This window comes from Homo sapiens, chromosome 2, assembly GCF_000001405.40.
Source record: "Homo sapiens chromosome 2, GRCh38.p14 Primary Assembly".
NCBI lineage: Eukaryota > Metazoa > Chordata > Mammalia > Primates > Hominidae > Homo > Homo sapiens.
In genome coordinates this window covers 67,811,281-67,832,926 of record NC_000002.12, presented here as the reverse complement: position 1 = coordinate 67,832,926, position 21,646 = coordinate 67,811,281, and the positions used below count along the sequence as shown (strand labels likewise).

General features: G+C 38.3%; 1 long non-coding RNA gene across 1 annotated transcript in view; it reads left to right on the top strand.

The window, feature by feature from the left end:
* The first annotated feature begins 7,364 nt into the window (after positions 1-7,364).
* LINC01812 (long intergenic non-protein coding RNA 1812) overlaps positions 7,365-21,646 on the top strand; it is a 29,509-nt gene continuing 15,227 nt past the window's right edge. Inside the window, exons 1-2 of the long non-coding RNA NR_110271.1 lie at positions 7,365-7,438; positions 8,948-9,053. This is a non-coding gene — a long non-coding RNA (long intergenic non-protein coding RNA 1812). The remainder of the gene's footprint in view (positions 7,439-8,947; positions 9,054-21,646) is intronic.

Genomic DNA, 21,646 nt, shown 5'->3' with positions numbered 1-21,646 from the left:
GAAAAAATCAAACAGATGCACAGAAAGAAGAAAAATCTGGTTCCCTACATGATTCTAGTTCTTGTTCTAAATGGTTTCTGAGACTAAATTGCATCTATCCTCGTATTCCCTGAGATATTCCAATATCCTTTCAACACTTGTTGTTTGTGGCTTAAGCCATTACAAGTAGGGATCTGTCATTTGCAACTGAGAAAGCCCTAATGAAAACATGCTTTAGAGAAGGTCTCCTGTTGCTGAGGCAGGCCTTTCTGGTTCAACTGCAATGATAGATGGAAGGTAGTGGTGGGCTCAGATCAAAATATGCCATGGAGAATGCCGCTCCTTCTTGTTTATCAATAGTCTCATGACTACTAGCTTGAAGGGTGTTCACAAGATACTCCATCCATCCATCCAATCATCATCTAATCATCTATCCATCTATCCTCTATCCATCTCAGAAAGATTTCCTGATCTCCTCTGTTGGCTAGACTCTATGCTAATGGCTACTCTGTGACCTCTGGTTACTGGTTTTCATGTTGTGCCCGTATTTAGTATATGATGTTATATTAAGTCCTAAAATTATGGTAACACAGAACAGGCCCAGTTCCCTACATTTTGATTCCTACCCCTCATAATATTTCTTTCTATTTTGTACAAATGTGAAATATGTAATTAATACTACCTCTTCTTGGGAAATGTCTTACATCCAATATCCCAAATGCATTAAATACATCATTTAGGTGGTTTTGTGTGTGTGTGTGTGTGTGTGTGTGTGTGTGTGTGTGTGTGTTTTGAGACAGTCTTACTCTGTCACCTAGGCTGGAGTGCAGTGGCGCAGTCTCAGCTCACTGCGACCTCTGCCTCCTGGGTTCAAGTGATTTTCATGCCTCAGACTCCTGAGTAGCTGGGACTACAGGCGCGTGCCACCACACCTGGCTAATCTTTTGTATTTTTAGTAGAGATGGGGTTTCACCATGTTGGCCAGGCTGGTCTCGAACTCCTGACCTCAAGTGATCCACCCGTCTTGGCCTTCCAAAGTGCTCATTTAGGTGTTTTTATATGAAACAGAGAAGAGGCCAGGGGCCAGGTACGGTGGCTTACCCCTATAATCCCAGCATTTTGGGAGACAGGTGGGAAGATGGCTTGAGCCAAGAAGTTTGACACCAGCCTTGGCAGCATGGTAAGACCCCGTCTCTACAAAAAAGTTAAAAAATTAACTGGACGTGATGGTGTGCATCTATACTCCCAGATGTTTGAGAGGCTGAGGTGGGAGGATCACTTGAGTCTAGAAGTTTGAGACCAGCCCAGGCAACAATGAGACCCCACCTCTACCAAAAAAAAACCCAACAGACAAAACGAAACCAAAATTAGCCTGGCATGGTGGCACACTCCTGTAATTCTAGCTACTTGGGAGGCTAAGAGTGAGAGGAGTGCTTGAGCCCAGCAGTTTGAGGCTGCAGTGAGCTATGATCACCCATTATACTCCAGCCCGGGCCACAGGGAGAGACCCTGTCTCTGAAAAATAAAATAATAAAATAAAATAAAATAAAAAATGGGTGTCTCAGAGTCCCTGTCCAGAGACAAGGACACCATTCCTGATGGGTGTTATGTTTGGGATCTACTGGCTCTTTGTCCAAGTTTCTTCATTTTCTTTTTGAAGGCTTAGGTGCTGGTTGAGAGGGTGATGTAGGTTAGCTTGGTTTTCAGCTGTCCTAACCCCTCTTTGGACCATAGATCTTTTCCAAGTATCCTGGGCCCCCCAGAATCATTCACTTTCATTTCATTTCTGCTGAAGACTCCTAAGAAGGGAAATTTTCATCTCTGAATTCAAGCCTAAGCCGGAGCTTCTCCCACGAATAAACTTTCTCAGGATTTCATGCCAAGAGACCTGGACTAGCAAGAATAAAGCAAAAGAGAAGGAGGGCTGGACGTATCGTGCCTTGTGTTAGCTGGTTGTAAATGATCTCAGAATCTTGAGACACCTACTGCATTGAGAAGCTTCAGAGCTTCTCTCAACTCTGAGATTCACAGAGAGTCAGTTCACTTGAAATGTAAACATCTTAGCTTTTGGAAGAGAAAAAGAAACTGTCATTGTGTGTTGGAATATGATCTAGGTAGAGCAGTGGTTCTCAACTTTGAATCACCGGGGGAGCTTTTAAAAAGCATGAATGGCTGGGCAAGGTGGCTCATGCCTGTAATTCCAGCACTTTGGGAAGCCGAGGCAGGTGGCTCACTTGAAGTCAGGAGTTCGAGACCAGCCTGACCAACATGGCGAAACCCAGTCTCTATTAAAATACAAAATTAACAGGGTCTGGTGGTGCATGCTTGCAATCCCAGCTACTTGGGAGGCTGAGGCAGGAGAATTGCTTGAACACGGGGGGGTGGAGGTTGGAGTGAGCCAAGATCGCACCATTGCACTCCAGCCAAGGCAACAAGAGTGAAACTCTGTCTCAAAGAAAAAAAAAAAGAAGGAAAAAAAAAAAGCATGAATGCTGGGCCTCAACAGAGTAAATGAATCAGAATCTCTGGGTAGAGTCTGGGCATGGAGCTTCTGAAAACTCCCCAAGGTGTTTTCATGTCAAAGTCAAGGGTCTTGGTCTAAAAGAGAAGTGAGAGATGGCAATTTAAGATGAGCAGATGGGAAGGGCCTGTGATTATGGCTGCTTTCCCTAGAGGTTTACAACTTTGAGGACTCTCTTGGGCAGACAGAGAAGCCAGGAGGGTCTGGTGCACGCTATTACCGAGGGTGCCATCTTGCTTTAAGCCCACAAGCTGAATAATTATTGTAATAAAAAATAGACAAGGAAAAGATACCCACCAAAGGCTTGGGTCAGCCACAGCCTTACAACATTCTGGTATAGAATGCTCTGGTACCCAAGAAATACCATTGCCCTGTTGATACCTCTCGAGAGAGGTGGAAATGATCAGGGAGAGTGGAAGAGGTCATGACTAAGACTGAGGAGCATACAGGGGCCAAACCTTAGCAGCTTTAGGATTTCGTACGATGTGTGATGAATCTTGAAGGAGGAGCACAGCACAGCTGTGCAGGAAGGTGATCTCTTGCAGTCAGCATTGGCCCAGGGATTGAGTGGGTGACTGTGTTCAATTCTTCACTGGAGGAATTCCATCATAAATATGAAAAAGGGATATGTGATGCTTCAGGGCTTATAGAGACAAAACACCTCATGTATGTTGGTAAGTTGACAGTCTGTCACCAGTTTCTATGCTCTTGATGACATTTGATCCTCACAGCTCCTGGGAAGGAAGGCACAGAACAGTGCAGGCACAGGCAGAAGACCTCAGCTTATGGTCTGCTAGTGGCCTCCTCCTCTGTGTGACCTTGGGCAGGAAGGGCAGGTATTGTGGCTTCTCCGTGGGGCATAAGAGCAGAATTTTCTTGGGTCAGATTAAGATCTTCACCGACTTTAAGCACAAAAAGGTTTCAGCATCTCCCTTCTCATATATAATTCAGAATAAAATAATACTAAGCTATAGAGTAAATATAAATAAATGTAATAGAATTCTTATCTGATTACTTTGTTGTTTTTCCCTTGGTTTCTTTTTTTTGAAAAAAAAAAAAGAAACCATTCTTCAAAAATTGTTTTCTCACATTCTTCCTTGACATTGCTGTTGCCTTAAGCATGGGCCTAGAGGCCAATTGGCCCCATTTGGCCATCTAGCATGAACACATAGCCATGAGCCATCAATGAGTCCAGCTGGAGGTTGTCTTTCCCAGTGACAATCCCCAGCCCTGGACTGAATGGGGAGTGGGCTTGATTGACCCTCAAGCCCATTTCCTGCCATTTTTAAAATAATGGGCCAAGAAGAGCAAACCAACAGTCCTTGTTTCCCCATTAACTTGGGGGCAGTGTAATCTCCTGGAAAGAGCAGTGGTTTGGAGAGAACAAACTGGTTTTCAATCCCACCTCTGTCCTTTTCTATCTGGGGCTCTCTTTGCCTCTCTTCATTGATTAAATGGTGTTGCTAGAGATCTCATGAGACTCTGTGAGGATTAGATGGTAAAGCACATGAGGGAAGGCTGCTTGGTCATCTGGTTTACTACAGGGTGAGTATCCATTGTCTGTAATACTTGGGACCAGAAGTGTTTTGGATTTTGGAATATTTGCATCATGTACTTACTGGTTGGGCACCCCTGCTAAAATCTGTAATGCTCCAAAATCTGAAACTTTTTGAGCACTGCCATGATGCTCAAAGGAAATGCTCACTGGAGCATTTTGTCTTTTGTATCTTTGGATAAGGAATACTCAACCTGTATTACATTCTTGTGCCTACAGAGTGCCTAGCACACAGTGAGGACTCAATAAATATTTACTGAGCATGCACTCTCTTTATCCGCACTCTAGTTCTTCTCACTGAGAAGGTGGATAATAGTGTGGAAAGTTCTTAATCACTCTGTAGTAAGATAGTAGTGTGGGTAGAGGCCTTCCTCTCTTGGATGGGTGAAATGTCCAAGGAAAGTGGTCTGAGGGATGGTCCCTTTGCAAATATTGTTTGGAGGTCAGGAATTTGAACTTATGGCCCTGAATCTGAACTTGTGCTGCAAAGCGTTTTATGCCTGTGGTAGTAGATATTCAAATAATTATTTGTAGCAGACTCATAGACAGTAATGTTGAGTAGGTATTTCACAGCAAGGAACTGGGATGAGAGCCAGGTCTCATGGTCTCAGGTGGTAAGATCTCAGGTTACATGGTCTCAGGTGGTAAGAGATATATACTGTTGACATTTGTTTTATTTTTATCTGGGTGTGGAGTGGTAGCAATGCTCACTCAACAAGTTACCATTTGTAAGAGAGTAAGAACGGATTATTTGGTCCTGTCTTCTCTGTGCTACCTTTTCACCCTCACTCAGGATGGGGAGGGCACAGAGCAGGGGTGGAAAGTGGGTGATTGGGGTGGAAGGGTCTGGAGTGCATCTCTCTTAGAACTCAACTTGTGGGCTGCCACATTTGGTTTTGCAGGGTGGAGTCTGTGGGATAATAGGTTCTCACATGGGGAGTAAAGGGAAAGAATTCTGACACTTTAAGGAGAATGGGGGCACCGGCCCTGCACCCAAGCCATTCAGAACAGTCTTCAGGGTCTTTAACAAGAGCGACTGATATGGTTTGGTTGTGTTGCCACCCAAATCTCATCTTGAATTGTAACTCCTACAATTCCCATGTGTCATGGGAGGAACCTGGTGTGAGGTAATTGAATCATAGGGGTGGGTCTTTCCTGTGCTGTTCTCATGATAGTGGATAAGTCTCATGAGATCTGATGTTTTTAAAAACAGGAGTTTCCATGCAGAAGCTCTCTTTCTCTCTTTGCCTGCTGCCCTCCATCTAAGACGTGACTTGCTCTTCCTTGCCTTCCGCCATGATTGTGAGGCCTCCCCAGGCAAGTGAACTGTAAGTCCATTAAATAAATCTCTTTCTTTTGTAAATTGCCCAGTCTCAGGTATGTCTTTATCAGCAGTGTGAAAACGGACTAATACAGTTACGTTCTAGCTCTCCTTTTTTGACATCCCTGGGGTCTTGGAGAAGTGTTATATTTCAGGGGTGTTGTAGAGCTCTAGGCTTTCAGGGCACGTCTTTTTTAATTTTAATTTTTTTTACATTTAAATTTATTTGTTATTTTTAAAATTTCAATAGCTTTTAGGGTAAGAGTGGTTTTTAGTTACATGGATGAATTATATAGTGTTAAATTCTGAGATTTTAGTGTAGTCAGGCCACATCATTTGGTCAAGTGTTTAAACCAGTGACTCTTGATAGAGAAAGAAAAGGAAGATCTGGTGTTGGTGTTTAAGAATTTGATAGTTTGTAGCTACGATGAGTGGGCTGTGCTCTCTGTTCCTGTCAGGCTCCATCATCACTCAGGGCACTGCGTCTCAGCTTCCTAGGAAGAGCTGATAGTTTCTCGCCTGGCCCTTGTTGTTTGGTTTGGAAGGGCTTTTAGTTTGTCTGTTACTTTGTCTGTGCCCTGTAAGTGAGTGACTGGCCACCCAAAATGAGAGATACTAAAGGGATAGGAACCAGAGAATGCAGATTCAAGACCAACCTCTTCATATTAAGGAAGAGTGGGCTTTGGGGAAAGAGGAGATCCAAAAAAATCAAACAAGAGATGGGATGTGTGTGGCCATAATATTGTAGAGATATCAGTTGTCACTCAAGCCATGTGGAGAGTTGAGAGTCTTGTGGTAAACACACGAAAGTTAAGCTGTTCTTCACAAAAACTTGGGTGCTTGTAGAGAAGAACACATTATCTAGAGTATCGTTTGTCTCGATTTTGCTACTCCCAGAGGGGCCAACTTTTGTGCTCGAATAAAGTCACTGCTGTGTGTTTGGAAGATGTCTTTACTTGCCAGAATGAATAGAACGTCCTGAAATTGCCTGGCTTCAGCATTTCAAAGTGAACTGGAACCTCAGGGTCCTTCATAACAAAACTGACCTTGGTCTTCTGGTCTTCATGAAATATTAATGCTTCAGTGAATATTTCTCAGTTTCTTCCACCCCAGATAGTTCTTACTCAGCCATGTGCTGACAATTTTATTTGTAGTTGGCTCTTAAATGGAACTGGAAGTACAGCCTTGTCTATCAATTATTGATAAATTAACCAATAACATTTCCTTTGTTTCCTTGCCCTCAAAATCTCAGAATCAGAACTTTTGAAATGGCTCCATGTTGTTTCTAAAGTCTCTGGGATGATCCACATTCTTTGTTGTTTTCATTTGCCAGCGTGCACAGGAGCAAACCCCCCACTTCTCCTACTTTGGAAAACGTTTCGACATAAATGTCTGGTTCTTCTGAACACTCTCATTCCAAGCATAGAATAATTATTAGCTTGGAGAGGCTTTGTTCTTTTTTTTTTTTATTTAAGATGTTGGGATCCCTGCCTACGTAAATGAAGTCAGGAAAGACACTGAGATGTTAAGATGTTTGTTTTCTTCTTTCCTGGGTGGGTTCTCCTAAAAGATGTCAGCGTTCAATTGTTGGCTAGCAACCTGTGGCATTTAATTATTCTTGACGTTTAATCCATCATGGTGTGAAAAAAAAAGAAAATGTAGCCTGTCTACTCCTCCTCCTCTTCCAAGAGAAACAATAGAATAATTAAGATGGTAACTAAAGTTCTAAGAATAATGAGAAACCACATAAAGACTAGCATGATATTACTCTTAGAACATTAACAGGAAACAAGTTCTGAGGCTATCTCCTCCTACTACATTTTTTTTCTCTTCCTGTCCAGATAATCATGAGTCATCATCCTGTATAAATGAATAATAGTTTAATTTAAATAAGCCAATGTTGTTTGGAGGTCGTTTATCACTTCACAGCTCTCATTCACAGTCAAGTCATGTGGAACTACACAACTTCCTTTTTGTGCATTGGAGCTGGAAATCTCGTTGAGTTTGGGAGGCCTTACTTCTGCATATTTGAATCTGGTGACCAAATTAAACATTGTTCTAAGTAAGTGGGTGGGTGGGGATGGTGATGGGCTGGGGCTGAGGTGGGGAGACAGAGAGCCTTGAGAGGTTTTAGGCTTTTGCACCTGTGATTTCAGGGCATGGAAGCTGGATTTGGGTTTGAATAGTAGTATGTTGATAGTGGTGTGTGTGATAGAGAACTGATCCTAAAACTTAATATTTCAATAAGAACAACCATAAAGGACAGAAAATGGGACCCTTTTTAAGGGCTAACTATAGAAATTGGATTCATACTGTTAGGACTAATGATTGAAAGCAAAGGAAAACTCAAGCAACGTTCCTCAGCCGGCACATTCAAATGATAAATTGCATTTAAGCACTGAAAGAAACAACAGCTGCAGTTAATGAAAAGCCAAATTTATCTAAATTTCTCCAGTTGATCAGTCAAAATAATCAGTATGGCTCTCACTCCATAATCACTTTTTGGCGGGGAAGGGGGACGAGGGGGGAGGTCGGAGAGGGGGAGGACAAAGAGAGAAGACAGGTTTTTATTTTTAAAGGTATAGTTTTCAAAAAGGAACTGTAAAGCTACTGAATTGTAGAAAATACATTTTCTTGTTATCAATATCATCAATACTCTAGATTTGTTGTTTTATTTTTAACTCTCCTAAGGATAATGCAGTTGGCTCTTGTATGGAATGAAGCCTATAGACATGGGCCGGAGGCGGGAAATCCGGGGGCGGGTTGTGATAATGATACAAATCTGAAATGCGTTCCAAAACATCCTATGTCCATTGAGCTGTTTCATTATTACAACACCTGTGAAATAGACAACAGGTATCATTTGTGGCTATTTTACACAGACAGGCACCAAAGGTTTGGGGGGCCAAGTGACCTACCCAAAGTCAGCTAATAAGCTCCTCTACAAGCTGGGGATATAAGAAGATGTCCACACTCCTCACCAAATGCTTTACTAGAAAACAGAAATAAATTCTCCACGCCTCATATCCTTACATGGTGAAAGCAGGAAAATCCTGTTGCAGAAACCACTTGGAGGAGCTGCCATCAAAGGCTGCTTGGGGCCAGCTTCCCTCCAGCACAGAGCTCTGCGCAGAGCCTGCATGTGGTGTGGAATTCTATTAGAACTTACTCACCATATGTTTGTTTGCTGGTGTTCAGTGGAACCTGAGGGAGGGCATAATGGATCTCCGTTACTAAACTGTGTGGAAGGCTTCCAGAGATTTAATAGTCTACCTCGAGGTGATGAATAGAGGGGCTCTTGTATGCCTTGCATAATCAGGGAGCCTTGGTGCTCTGAATGCGCCACGCTCTCCTCCAACACCCTTCTGGAAAAGTCTGTACAGCTGGCACTCCTGGAGGCATTTCAAAAGTGGAGATGGGTGGGGAGGGTGCCTTCCTCTCATCTTCCCTGAGAAAAGATTTGCGGGATGAGATTGCACTGATAGCTGGAGATTTTGAGTAGAAGGAAATAGGCTAGAGGAGTGGAGAGGAGAGGGAAGGCATTCGGTGACCTGGATTTCCCTCCTTGCAGCTGTAGTGGTCTGATCATTCTACCAAGGCCATGACTGTGAAGAGCACTGTGGGTGATGGCTGGTGGCTCACCGGAGCCGGCTTGTGCACGGCGCCCGAAGCCAAAGGTGAGGGACCACTGGTATTGCTGAACCATGAGGCTGCCAAATGGCCATGAGATTTTATTCCTTCCAGTTAATTTTCTCACTGATGTGCTTTTAATTCATATGGTGTAGAAGTAGGCTGGAAGGTATTTGGCAGGGGGGCGACAGAAATAGAACCATGGTAGAACTTTGCTGGTCTCTCTGCCAGGGAACGGAACACTTGAAAAGGTAGGAGCTCGAGGAGACTGAGCCCGTGAACTCAGGAAGGACAGAAACCAAGCTGCTTCTCCAGTGGATCAAGGTCTAGATAGCTGTGAGAGTGGGAGACATGGAGAGTGCAGGTTATTAGTTCTTTTTCTCATCCCTGTGGCTCTCTACCATCCCCTCTGGTCTTCTGCCATCTTGTAGGTAACGTTTCTCATTGTTGCCTTATTTCCTTCCTTCCCTCCTTCCTTCCTCTCTTTCTCTCTTTCTTTTTTTTTCTTTTTGATGGAGTTTCGCTCTTGTTACCCACGCTGGAGTGCGATGGCGCAGTCTCAGCTCACTGCAACCTCCGCTTCCCAGGTTCAAGTGATTTTCCTGCCTCAGCTCCGAGTAGCTGGGATTACAGGCATGTGCCACCACGCCCAGCTAATTTTGTATTTTTAGTAGAGACGGGGTTTTTCCATGTTGGTCAGGCTGTTCTCGAACTCCCGACCTCAGGTCATCTGCCCGCGTTGGCCTCCCAAAGTGCTGGGATTACAGGGGTGAGCCACTGCGCCTAGCCTTCCTTTCCTTTTTTGACAGCCTAACCCACACATTAAATCCTGTCATGAAAACCAAAGCCCATCCCTCTAGTATGGATTCTGCATTGCACCAAAATATGAGGGCATTTTTGGTACCTGGAGCCATGTTTGAAGTGGATGGAATGCTGAAAGTTAGACAGACAGCCATCTTTTCATGGACTTGCCTGCAGGTTTGTGCATGAAGGAATCTTGTATAATTCTTTCAGTTTAAGCAAACTATGAGGCATTCATTTTTTCATTTATTAACCATCTACCATGTAGCAAGTACTGTGCCAGACATGCAGAGTACAACAACAAACAAGGCTTGGTGCTTGCCCTCTAGAGGCTTTCTGGGAATGCATTAAAATAAACCAGAAGTTGGTGAAGTGTTAGATGTATGGCAGAATTTCATTTTCCCATCTCTTTGTTTACACAGGGAACTCCAGGAATTGGGAGAGGATAATGGAGCTAATTGTAATGTCAAGGTAGAGAGAGAGTTTGTAATGTGACTTAAGGTTGGGAAGGGGCAAATTTTCTTTTAGGATTATAAAGTAAAATTATGTCAGACACTAGCCAAGGGTGCAGCTGGGCATGAATCTGTTGTCTAGACCTAATGGGGCAGTTATTGGCAGGAGATTGATCTCCCATGCCAGTGGGAGATGCATCTGAAATTGTTTTTAGGCACTTGAGGAGAACAGAAGAAATAAAGAGGAAGCTGAGCCAGAGTGTGGGCCGCCTCCACTCCCTCAACTCCTGGGGTCCAAAGCTCCCCTTGTCTTTCCTCTAGAAGCAAAAGAGGGAGAGAAGAGCTTAGACTACAACACATGGCAGGCTTTGAACCTTGCAAGATCAGGGATGCACCAAAGCTAAAGGAAGAGAATTAATCTCAGGAATGGAAAAGTCTGGGACTTCTGGAGCAAAGAAACTAGGAGAAACAATGTCAGAAAATTTGGGTAGTTCAGCTAGCCTTTACTTAATAATACTTGTAGTGATGGTGGTATTCTTAAGGGTGTACATGAAGATCAAAACAAGAAAGAGTTTCTAATCCAAACTAGGGTAGGAGGGTTTAGGGGAGAGTGGAAGAAGTGTACCATCATCAGTGAATCCTGAAGCCTCATAGACATTAGAACAGGACAGTCAAACAGAGGCCAGAAGATATTAGCTCTGTTATTTATTCTTCACAAATTCCTGTGCTTTCTCTGTATACACTTTGTCTTTTCTCCTTTGCAACATTATCTTCTTGAGGATTCTTTGTTCTTTTCTACCAGACTAGTGATTGTGGATATACTTGGGACTCTTTTCCTTTTCCCAATGCTAGACTCTCTAGTTAGGAGGATCAGTAGGTCTCTGGGGAGAGAGTAGGAAATTCAAAGGTCATAAAAAGATGAGGCGTGGGACAGAGAGCTGCAGGGAGAATCATTACTCTTTCTTCTCAACCATAAAGTTTTCTGCAGTGTGACACGAAGTTGGCCTTCCAGGCCTATTTCTCAGTCCTGCTGTAGTCACACTGGCTTCTGGGCCTTCCCTTGACATTCCTTGGTTTCTTTGCCATGCTATTGTTTATGAAGTTTCTGGTTTCCTTTACCAGTCCTAAAGGGGATGCTATCCATTTCCTCTCAGTCCTACCTGATGCAGCTTTGGGAAACCCACAAAAGACTCTTCTTACAAACTCCTTGAGCATTTAATGGCAGAATCTTGTTCCTTAGAGGTAGCTCATTTTTTTTTTCTCTTCTAGGTGCTTTTGGGATTTTTTTCTGTGATTTGCTGTTCCAAAAATTCATGAGAATGTGTCTGGATATGTATGTGATCCCTTTCAAAGTTAAAAACCCAAATTCTTCTCTCTAGGCCTTTTCCATTTTTTACTTGCAAAGTGAGAATAACTATTTACCTTCAGATTGTTGGGAGAGTTTAATAAGATGAAAGACATCAAAGCACAGTATCACCTGCAAGTTTACACCCTCCCCACCTCAGCAAATCCATACCTGGCCAATGAGCAAGAGTAGAAGATTTCAAAAGGTTCCCCAGTAGCCTTAGACAGGGAAAGGTGGTGCTTTCAGCTACAGAACATCTTCTCAGCATTTTTAAGCTTCTTTAATTGGTAACAGATCCAATGATCCAATCCAGCAGCTGCAGCAGTTAGAAGAAGGGTTGAAAGATTCTAGAAGATACCTACTCCTGCTGCATTAGACATTTACATTATAACCATTGGCCTCATTTTCCTGTTTATCTCCTTAAACTTTTTTTTTATATCAGCTTTTTCCCCCAGGTGTGATTTACATGTAATTATAATCACCCTTTTAAGTGTTCAGTTCAATAAGTTTTGGCAAATATTTATCATCACTATCTCATTATACTCACGATAAAGAATATTCCCATCACCCCAGAATCTACTGCATGCTTCTTTCCCTTTAATCACCTCTGCCTCCTTCCAGTCCCTGGCAATCACTGTTGGGCTTTCTATCATTTTAGTTTTGCCTTTCCCCATATTTCTTATAAATTGAATCATACAGTTAGGCAGTTTTATGTCTTGGGTTTCTTTCACTTAGCAAACTGCTTTTAAGATTCACGCATGTTGTTTTACGTAGCATGAACTGTTTCCTTTATATTGCTGAGTAGTACCCCAATGAGTACATATACCATAGTTGATAGACATTTGGGTTATTTGCAGTTGTTGACTGTTACTAATAAAGTGACTATGAACATTTGCACACAAAACATTGTGTAGAAATATGTTTCCATTTCTTGGGTAAATACTATGACTAGAATTGCTGTGTGATATGATAAGCGTATGCCAAAATGGTTTCCAAAATGGCTGTATAATTTTATATTCCCACCAGCAATGTATGAGTTTCAGTTGCTCCATATTCTCATCAATCCTAGGTATTGTCAGTCTTTTTAATTCTAGCTGTTTCAGAGAGAGTATAGTGGTATTTCATTGTGGTTTTAATTTGTATTTCTCTAATGATTAATGACGTTGGACATCTTTTTATGTGCTTGTTTGCCATTCATATTTTCTTTGTTCAAATCTTTTACTCATCTAAAAAATCAAGTTGTCTTATTATTGAATTGTGTTTTTTAACATGTTCTGGATTCAAGTCTTTCATCAGATACAAATTTTGCAGATATTTTCTCCCACCCATTTTGTGGCTTGTATTCTTATTAATGGTCATTTTTAAAGATCAAAAGTTTTTAATTTGACAAAGTCTAATTTATCATGTTTTTCTTTGTATTCTCTGTGTCCTATTTTTGAAATATTTTCCTAACCCAGGGTCACAAATATTTTTTCTTACGGGTTTTTTTTTGAAGTTTTATAGTTTTAGCTCTTATATTTAGACCTGTGATGCTTCTTGAGTTAATTTTTATGTATTGTGTGAAAGGTTAGTGTCTAGGCTTGTTATTTTTCCAAATGGATATCCAATTGTTCCAGCACTATTTGTTGGAAAAAACTATCTTTCCCCATTGAGTAACCTTGACATCTTTGAGTAGATCTATTTCTGGACTCTCTTTTGTTCCACTGATCTATATGTTTATCCTCATAAATACTATACTGACTTAATTATTATAGCTTTACAGTAAGTCTTGAATCAGGTAGTGAACACTTTCTAACTTTTTCTTTTTCAAATTTATTTTAGCAATTTCGGGTCATTTCATTTTCCTATAAAATTTAGAATCAGCTTACCAGTTTCTACAAAAAGACTGCTGTGATTTTGATTGGGATTGTATTAAACCCTTACATCAATATGGGAAGGTTGGTACATTAATAATTTTGAGTCTTTCATTCATGAACATAGCATGTCTATTTATTCAGATCTTCTTTAATTTCTTTTAGCAATACTTTATTTTGTAGTTTTTAGTATGTCGGTATTACACATATTTAGACAAATCTCTAACTCTTCATATTTTTTGACGTGATTGTAAATGGTATATTTATATTTTAAAAGTGAATGTCCAATTATTTGTTGCTAGTATATATAAATGCAATTTATTTTTGTATATTCATCTTGTATCCTGTGATCTTGCTAACCTCACTTTTTAGTTCTGGTAGCTATTTTTATATTCCTTGGGATTTTTCATATGGACAGTTGGGCCATCTGCAAATAGAGACAGTTTTACTTCATTATTTTAACTCTCTATGATTTTAATTTTTTTTCTTCCTTTATTGCACTGGTAGAACATCAGCACAATGTTAAATAGAAGTGGTGTGAGCGGAGATCCTGACCTTGTTCCTGATTTTAGGGAGAAAGCATTCAGTCTTATCTCCATATATGTTAAAACTCCACGATACCATTTTCTTACTGTTTTAGATAGTCAACTATGTTTTAAAGACATTAAAAAATCAGATGAAAGTCTTTTATACTTGCCATTTCCATTGCTCTTCATTCATTTGTGAAGATCTAAATTTCCATCTGATATTTTCCTTCTGCCCGAGGAATTTTAACATTTTTGTAATGCATGTTTGCTGACAAAGAATTATTTAAGCATTTGTTTTTCCAAAACATCTTGATCTTGTCTTCAGCTTTGAAAGATAAGTATGCTGAGTATAAAACTCTACATTGACAGTGTTTTCTTTTAGTATTTTAAACATGTCTCTCCATTGTCTTCTGTCATGCATATTTTTGGAGAAGTCTGCTGACATTCTTATTTTTGTTTATTTGTATTAAATGTGTCATTTCTTATTTGACTGTTTTTAAGATTTTCTTGTTTTTGGCATTTTTGGCACTTTTATGATAATTTGCCTTGGTGTGATTTTCTATGTCTATTTTGCCTGAAGTTTTTGTTGAGCTTCTTGGATTTGTGGATTTACAGGTTTCATCAAATTTAAAGTTTTTTGGCCATCATTTCTTCAAATGTTTTTTTTTTCTGTCTCAATCCCTAGTCCTTTTTTCCTTTCAAAACTTCAATTAAATGTATGTTAGACTGGCTGATATTCCCCAAATTCACTGAAGTTTTTTTTTGCTCTGTTCATTTTTTAAATTCTTTTTTTTCTCTCTGTGGTTTACAGAGAATATTTTTTATTGCAACGCTTTCAAATTCACTTTTTGTTTTTGCAATGTTTAATATGCTGTTAATCTTATCCAGTGTATTTATCAATACATATCCCTAGAAGTTCATATGGTTCTTTTTTATATCTTCCACTTTTTTTCTCATCACATTTATGTTTTGAAAAATATCCTTGAATATATGGAACATATTTTTAATAGTATTTTTAAGTCTTCTCTAATAATTTAATTATTTCTGTTGTTTCTGGGTCAGTTTCGACTGGTTGAATTTTCCTCTAGTTATAGGTCATATTTTTCTGCTTTTTTTGTTTTTACATGCTTATAACTTTTAATAGGATTCTAGTCATTATGAACTTTATGTTCATTCATGCTGGGTTTTGTTGTATTCTTTAAAGCACGTTGAATTTGTTCTGCATATAGTCATGTTACTTACTATCAGTCTTATCATTTCCAGGCTTGCTTTTAAATTTTATTAGGGCATGTGCAGCGCAGCCTTTATTCTACTGATCATTTAGCTTCACTATGAAAGCACCCCAATTCTGAAGACTCTCTATTCAGTTTCCTGTGTCTCATGAGATCCCTCTTTTGTGGTGGTTTGGAATTTGAACATAAACTCTTCCTAGCCATATGTGAACTATGAAAATTATTTGATCTATTGCTTTCCAAAGTTTCACCCCATATTATGTACAGATTATTTCTCAAAGACTTGAGGGCATCCCTCTGCAGTTCTCTGGAACCCTCTGTGCAGCCCTACTTACTCTTGTCTGCAAATTCTAGACACCTTGGCCTCCCTATCTTTGCTTCCTAAACTTAGTGAGAAAAAGTCAACTGGATTCCCTTCCTGTTTGAGTTCTCCCTCCTGTACTGAGGCCTGGAAACTCTCTAGGCAGTGATCTGGGTTAATTTTACTGCTCATCTCATTTGTTTCCTTTCTCTCAGAGATCATAGTCCCATGCTATCTGCTACACATGTCTGAATACTATTTCATATATTTTGTCTGATTTTCAGTTGTTTACAGAGACATTTCCCATAGCAGTTAATTCTTCATTTGGTAGAAGTGAAAGTCCTAGACTTTTAACAAAGGAAACAATTGATGCACAAATACATTCTTTATTTAAAAAAAAAAAAGGCAAATAATACTGGTTAAATGCAATTCCCTCTAGATTTCTTCACCTTTCCCCATCCAATGTCACCTCTACCCTACATCAGTCCTTTCTGTAGAAGTAACTACTATTACCAGTTTGGTGGGGTTTTTTTTCTTTTTTTCTGAACTCATTCAATACATTTACAAATTTATATGTGTTTAAATAGGAATATACTATGGTTTTATATTTTTTGAGATTTGAACATTTTTGTATAAATGAAATTTGTACAACTTGTCATTTTCACTTAGTGTACATCTGTGATATATTGCCTTATGAGTTTAAATGAATATACCTTATTATTTTAAACTGCTGCATAGTATATTAACATGAATATGGATATATAGATATACTATATAGTGTACTGTATAGTATCTAGCTTATCCATATGAATATATTTTAATTCATTTAACAACTTCCTGTCTTTAGATTTCCTACCTTTCCGACCAATAAGTAGTTATGGACTACTGAATATTTGATTAAAAAAAACAACTTGTAACCAATATTAATCATTCAGAATGGTGACTAATATGTCAATTGAAATAACATAATATTAAAGCAAATAATCCCTGCCCCCAGGTTATAAAATGGAACATTACTAGTTTTTAGAAATTTTCTTTATGTTTCTTTCTGACATAATTCCCTCTTCCCTTCAAACATAACTACATACTACTCTTCTGTGGTAATCCTTTCTCTTGTTTACTTTATACTGTTACCACTAATGCTTGTCAGTAAATTGCATTGCATTTCCTTCTCTTTTTGAACTTAATACAAATGGAATGACACTGTAAATATTCTTTTGTCACTTGCTTCTTTTCCTTATTTCTGTTTGTGAAACTCATTGACATGTATTATTGATGTGCACTTAATTTTACTGTGGTATGTTATTCTACTTTAAATATGCTACACTTTATTTTTTCCATTCTACTGTTGATGTACATTTGGGATGTGTCCAATTTTAGGCAATGTTCCTACGAACAACTGGTACAAACCTTCCGAGGCATGAGTTTCTCTGGTGTATATATCTAGAATTGCTTGGTCATAATGCATGTATGGGTTCAACTTTTTTAGGCATGGCCAAATTTTTTCCAAAGGAGTTTTGCAAATATATACCTCCACTAACAGTGTTTGAACTTGACATTGCATCCACATCCTCACCAGCACTTGGTATTGTAAAATATAATTTTTTCAAATCTCATGCCAGTATAGTAATTGCTAATTGTTTTTTTAATTTGCATTTCTTTGATGATTAGTAAGGTCAAGAACCTTTTCATGTTTATCGACGATTCAAATTTCCTTTTTATAATTAACTAATTAATTAATTTATTTTTATTTTTTGAGACGGAGTCTTGTTCTGTCACCCAGGCTGGAGTGCTGGAGTGCAGTGGCACTATCTTGGCTCACCGCAACCTCTGCCTCCCGGGTTCAAGCGATTATCCTGTCTCAGCCTCTCAAGTAGCTGGGACTACAGGTGCACACCGCCATCCCCGGCTAACTTTTGTATTTTTGGTAGAAACGGGATTTCACTTTGGTGGCCAGGCTTGTCTTGAACTCCTGACCTTGTGATCCGCCCACTTTGGCCTTCCAAAATTCTGGGATAACAGGTGTGAGCCACTGTGCTGGGCCTCAAATTTCCTTTTTAAAATTCAAGTCTTTTGTTCATTTTTCTTGCTTCTGTTTCTTCTTTCCTCCTCTTTTTTCCTTCTTCATCTTCTTCTTTTTTTTTTTTTTTTTTTTTAGCAATTTGCAGGAATTATACTATAATCTGGATTGCCATTCTTCTTTAATTACATGAGTTGCAAATATTGTTATCTTCCCACTATCTTTATGGTGTCTTTTGATGAGCACAACTTAATTTTCATATAGTCTAAGTTTTCCTTTTATTTATTACAAAGTTTACTTTTTCTGTCTTATTTAAAAACTCTTACATACCAAGAAGATATTACCTAAAATATTATATCTTTACTTTTCACATATAGGTGTTTAGGATTAAATAACTGGATTGATTACCTGTATGTATATGTAGGTAAAGGTAAATTTTAATCTTTCTCTAAAGTATACCTAACAGCACAATTTTCTTTTGAAATTTTGTTCTTTTTCCACTGAACTACAATGCTAACTCAATCATGTATCAGTTGTCCTGGTAAGTATTGTTGAGTTTCTGGGTTCTCTGTATTGTTTGATTTTCTCTGTTTCTGCCTTTTAGCCTCTGCCAGGCTGTTTTAATAATAGTAGCTTTATAATAATTTTTAATAATTAGTAGAACAAGGTCCCCTCCCCCAAGTTTTCTTCTTCATGCTTATCTTGTTCAAGACTAGCCAACACTTTAATAGTTTCACATGAATTTTAGAATTAGCTTTCAAGTTTCAAAACAAACATATATGTACACGCACATTTTTTTCTCACTTCTCTCTCTCTCTCTTCACCCTCCCTGCCCCATTCACACACAACAAACTGTTGAGATTTTGGTATTTATTCTATTGAATATATAGATCAATTTAGGGAGAATGGACATCTTTATTACTGGAGTCTTTTGATCCCATAAAGTCTACTTTCTATTTATTTACATTACAAATCTTTAAAAGCAGTATTATTATTTTTTCCATAGAGGTTTTTTTGTTATTTTATTAAATTTATTCCTAGATAATCCATACTTTGTAAATGATGTGTAAAAATTTCACCTTCTAGGTAATTGTTGCTGGTATATAAAAATGTAATAGCTTTTATATGTAATTTTATATCAATTATTCTTGGTAAACTAATTCCTATTATGTATCTGAACAACAGTTTTATTTTATTTTTTCCAAATCTTTATCCTTTTTATTTCTTTACAGTATTGTCTAGGATCTCCAGTATATTGTTGAATAAAATTAGTGATAGTGGATATTTTTGTCTTATTTGTAATCACAAAGGGAATACTTTTAATATTTTACTCTTAAAAATGGGACTTAATGTATACATTATATATATATATGATTACGTATTTTTAAAAAAATTTTATTTATTTTCCCCATAAGTTATTGGGGTGTAGGTGGTATTTGGTTACATGAATAAATTCTTTGTGGTGATTTGTGAGACTTTGGTGCACCCATCACCTGAGCAGTATACATTGCACCACATTTGTAGTCTTTTATCCCTCATCCCGCCTCATGCTTTCCCCCAAGTCCCCAAAGCCCATTGTATCATTCTTATGCCTTTGCGTCCTCATAGCTTAGCTCCCACATATCAGTGAGAACATACAGTGTTTGGTTTTTCATTCCTGAGTTACTTCACTTAGAATAATAGTCTGCAGTTTCATCTGGGTCACTGCAAATGCTGTTAATACAATCCTTTTTATGGCTGCATAGTATTCCATTATACATACATATATATAATATATGTATGTATAATATGTATATATGTATGTATAATATATGTATATATTATATATACACATATATATGTGTATGTATACATACACATATATGTATGTTTGTATATATACACATATATGTATGTTTGTATGTATATATACACATATATGTATGTTTGTATATATGTATATATGTATATATGCATATATACACGTGTATATGTGTATATATATGTATATGTGTATATATATGTATAGATAAAGAAACTGTGAGATAGATATAAACATACATATACATATATAACATATTATACATACATATATGTTGATTGATGAGCATTTGGGTTGGTTCCACGATTTTGCTATTGTGAATTGTGCCACTATAAACATGAGTGTCCCAGTATCTTTTTTGAGTAATGACTTCTTTTCCTCTGGGTAGATACCTGGTAGTGGGATTGCTGGATCAAATGGTAGTTCTACTTTTAGTTCTTTAAGGAATCTCCACACTGTTTTCCATAGTGGCTGTACTAGTTTACATTCCCACCAGCAGTGTAGAAGTGTTCCCTGTTCACCACATTCATGCCAACATCTACTGTTTTTTTTATTTTTTGATTATGGCCATTCTTGCAGGAATAAGGTGGTTTTGATTTGCATTTCCCAGATCATTAGCGATGTTGGGCATTTTTTCATGTTTGTTGGCTATTTGTATATCCTCTTTTGAGAATTGTCTATTCATGTCCTTCACCCACTTTTGGTTGGGACTGTTTGGTTTTTTCTTGCTGATTTGTCTTAATTTGTTGTAGATTTTGGGTATTAGTCCTTGGTCAGATGTGTAGATTGTGAAGATTTTCTCCCACTCTGTGGGTTATCTGTTTACTTTGTTGACTGTTCCTTTTGTTGTTTAAAAGCTCTTTAGTTTAATTAGGTCCCAAATATTTTTCTTGGTTTTTATTGCATATTTGCTTTTGTGTTCTTGGTCATGAAATCCTTGCCTAAACCAATGTTTAGAAAGGTTTTTCCAATGTTATCTGCTAGAATTTTTATAGTTTCAGGTCTTAGGTTTAAGTGCTTAATCCATCTGGAGTTGATTTTTGTATAAGTTAAGAGATGAGGATCCAGTTTCATTCTTCTACATGTGGCTAGCCAATTATCCCAGCACCATCTGTTGAAAAGGGTGTTCTTTCCCCACTTTATGTTTTTGTTTGCTTTATTGAAGATCAGTTGGCTTTGGTTTATTTGGTTTATTTCTGGGTTCTCTATTCTCTTTCCTTAGTCTATATGCCTATTTCTATACCAGTACCATGCTGTTTTGGTGACTATGGCCTTATAGTATGGTTTGAAATCAGGTAGTGTGATGCCACCAGATTTGTTCTTTTTGTTTAGTCTTGCTTTGGCTATGCAGGCTCTTTTTTGGTTCCATATGAATTTTAGAATTGTTTTTTCTAATTCTGTGAAGAATGATGGTGGTATTTTGATGGATATTGCCTTGAATTTGTAGGTTGCTTTTGGCAGTATGGTCATTTTCACAGTATTGATTCTACGCATCTATGAGCATGGGATGTGTTTCCATTTGTTTGTGTTGTCTATGATTTCTTTCAGCTGTGTTTTATAGTTTTCCTTGTAGAGGTCTTTTGACTCCTTGGTTAGGTATATTCCTAGGTATTTTTGTTTGTTTGTTTTTTGCAGCTATTGTAAAAGTGGTTGAGTTCTTGATTTGATTCTCTGCTTGTTTGCTGCTGGTGTATAGAAGAGCTACTGAGTTGTGTACATTAATCTTGTATTGGAAATTTGCTGAATTGCTTTATCAGTTCTAGGAGATTTCTGGAGAATTTCTTAGGGTTTTCAAGGTAAATGATCATATCATCAACAAACAGTGACAGTTTGACTTCCTCTTTGCCGATTTGGATGCCCTTTATTTCTTTTTCTTGTCTGATTGCTCTGGTTAGGGCTTCCAGTACTGTATTGTAGAGGAGTGATGAGAGTGGGCATCCTTGTCTTGTTCCCATTCTCAGAGGGAATGCTTTCAACTTTTTCTCATTCAATATTATATTGGCTGTGGGTTTGTCTTAGATGACTTTTATTACATTAATGTATGTCCCTTGTATGCTGAGTTTTGCTGAGAGTTTTAATCATAAAAGGATGCTATATTTTGTTGAATGTTTCTTCTGCATCTATTGAGATGATCATGTGATTTTTGTTTTTAATTGTGTTTATGTGGTGTATCACATTTACTGACTTGTGTATGTTAAACCATCTCTGTATCCCTGATATGAAACCCACTTGATCATGGTGGATTATCTTTTTGATATGTTGTTGAATTCAGTTAGCAAGTATTTTGTTAATAATTTTAGCCTCAATG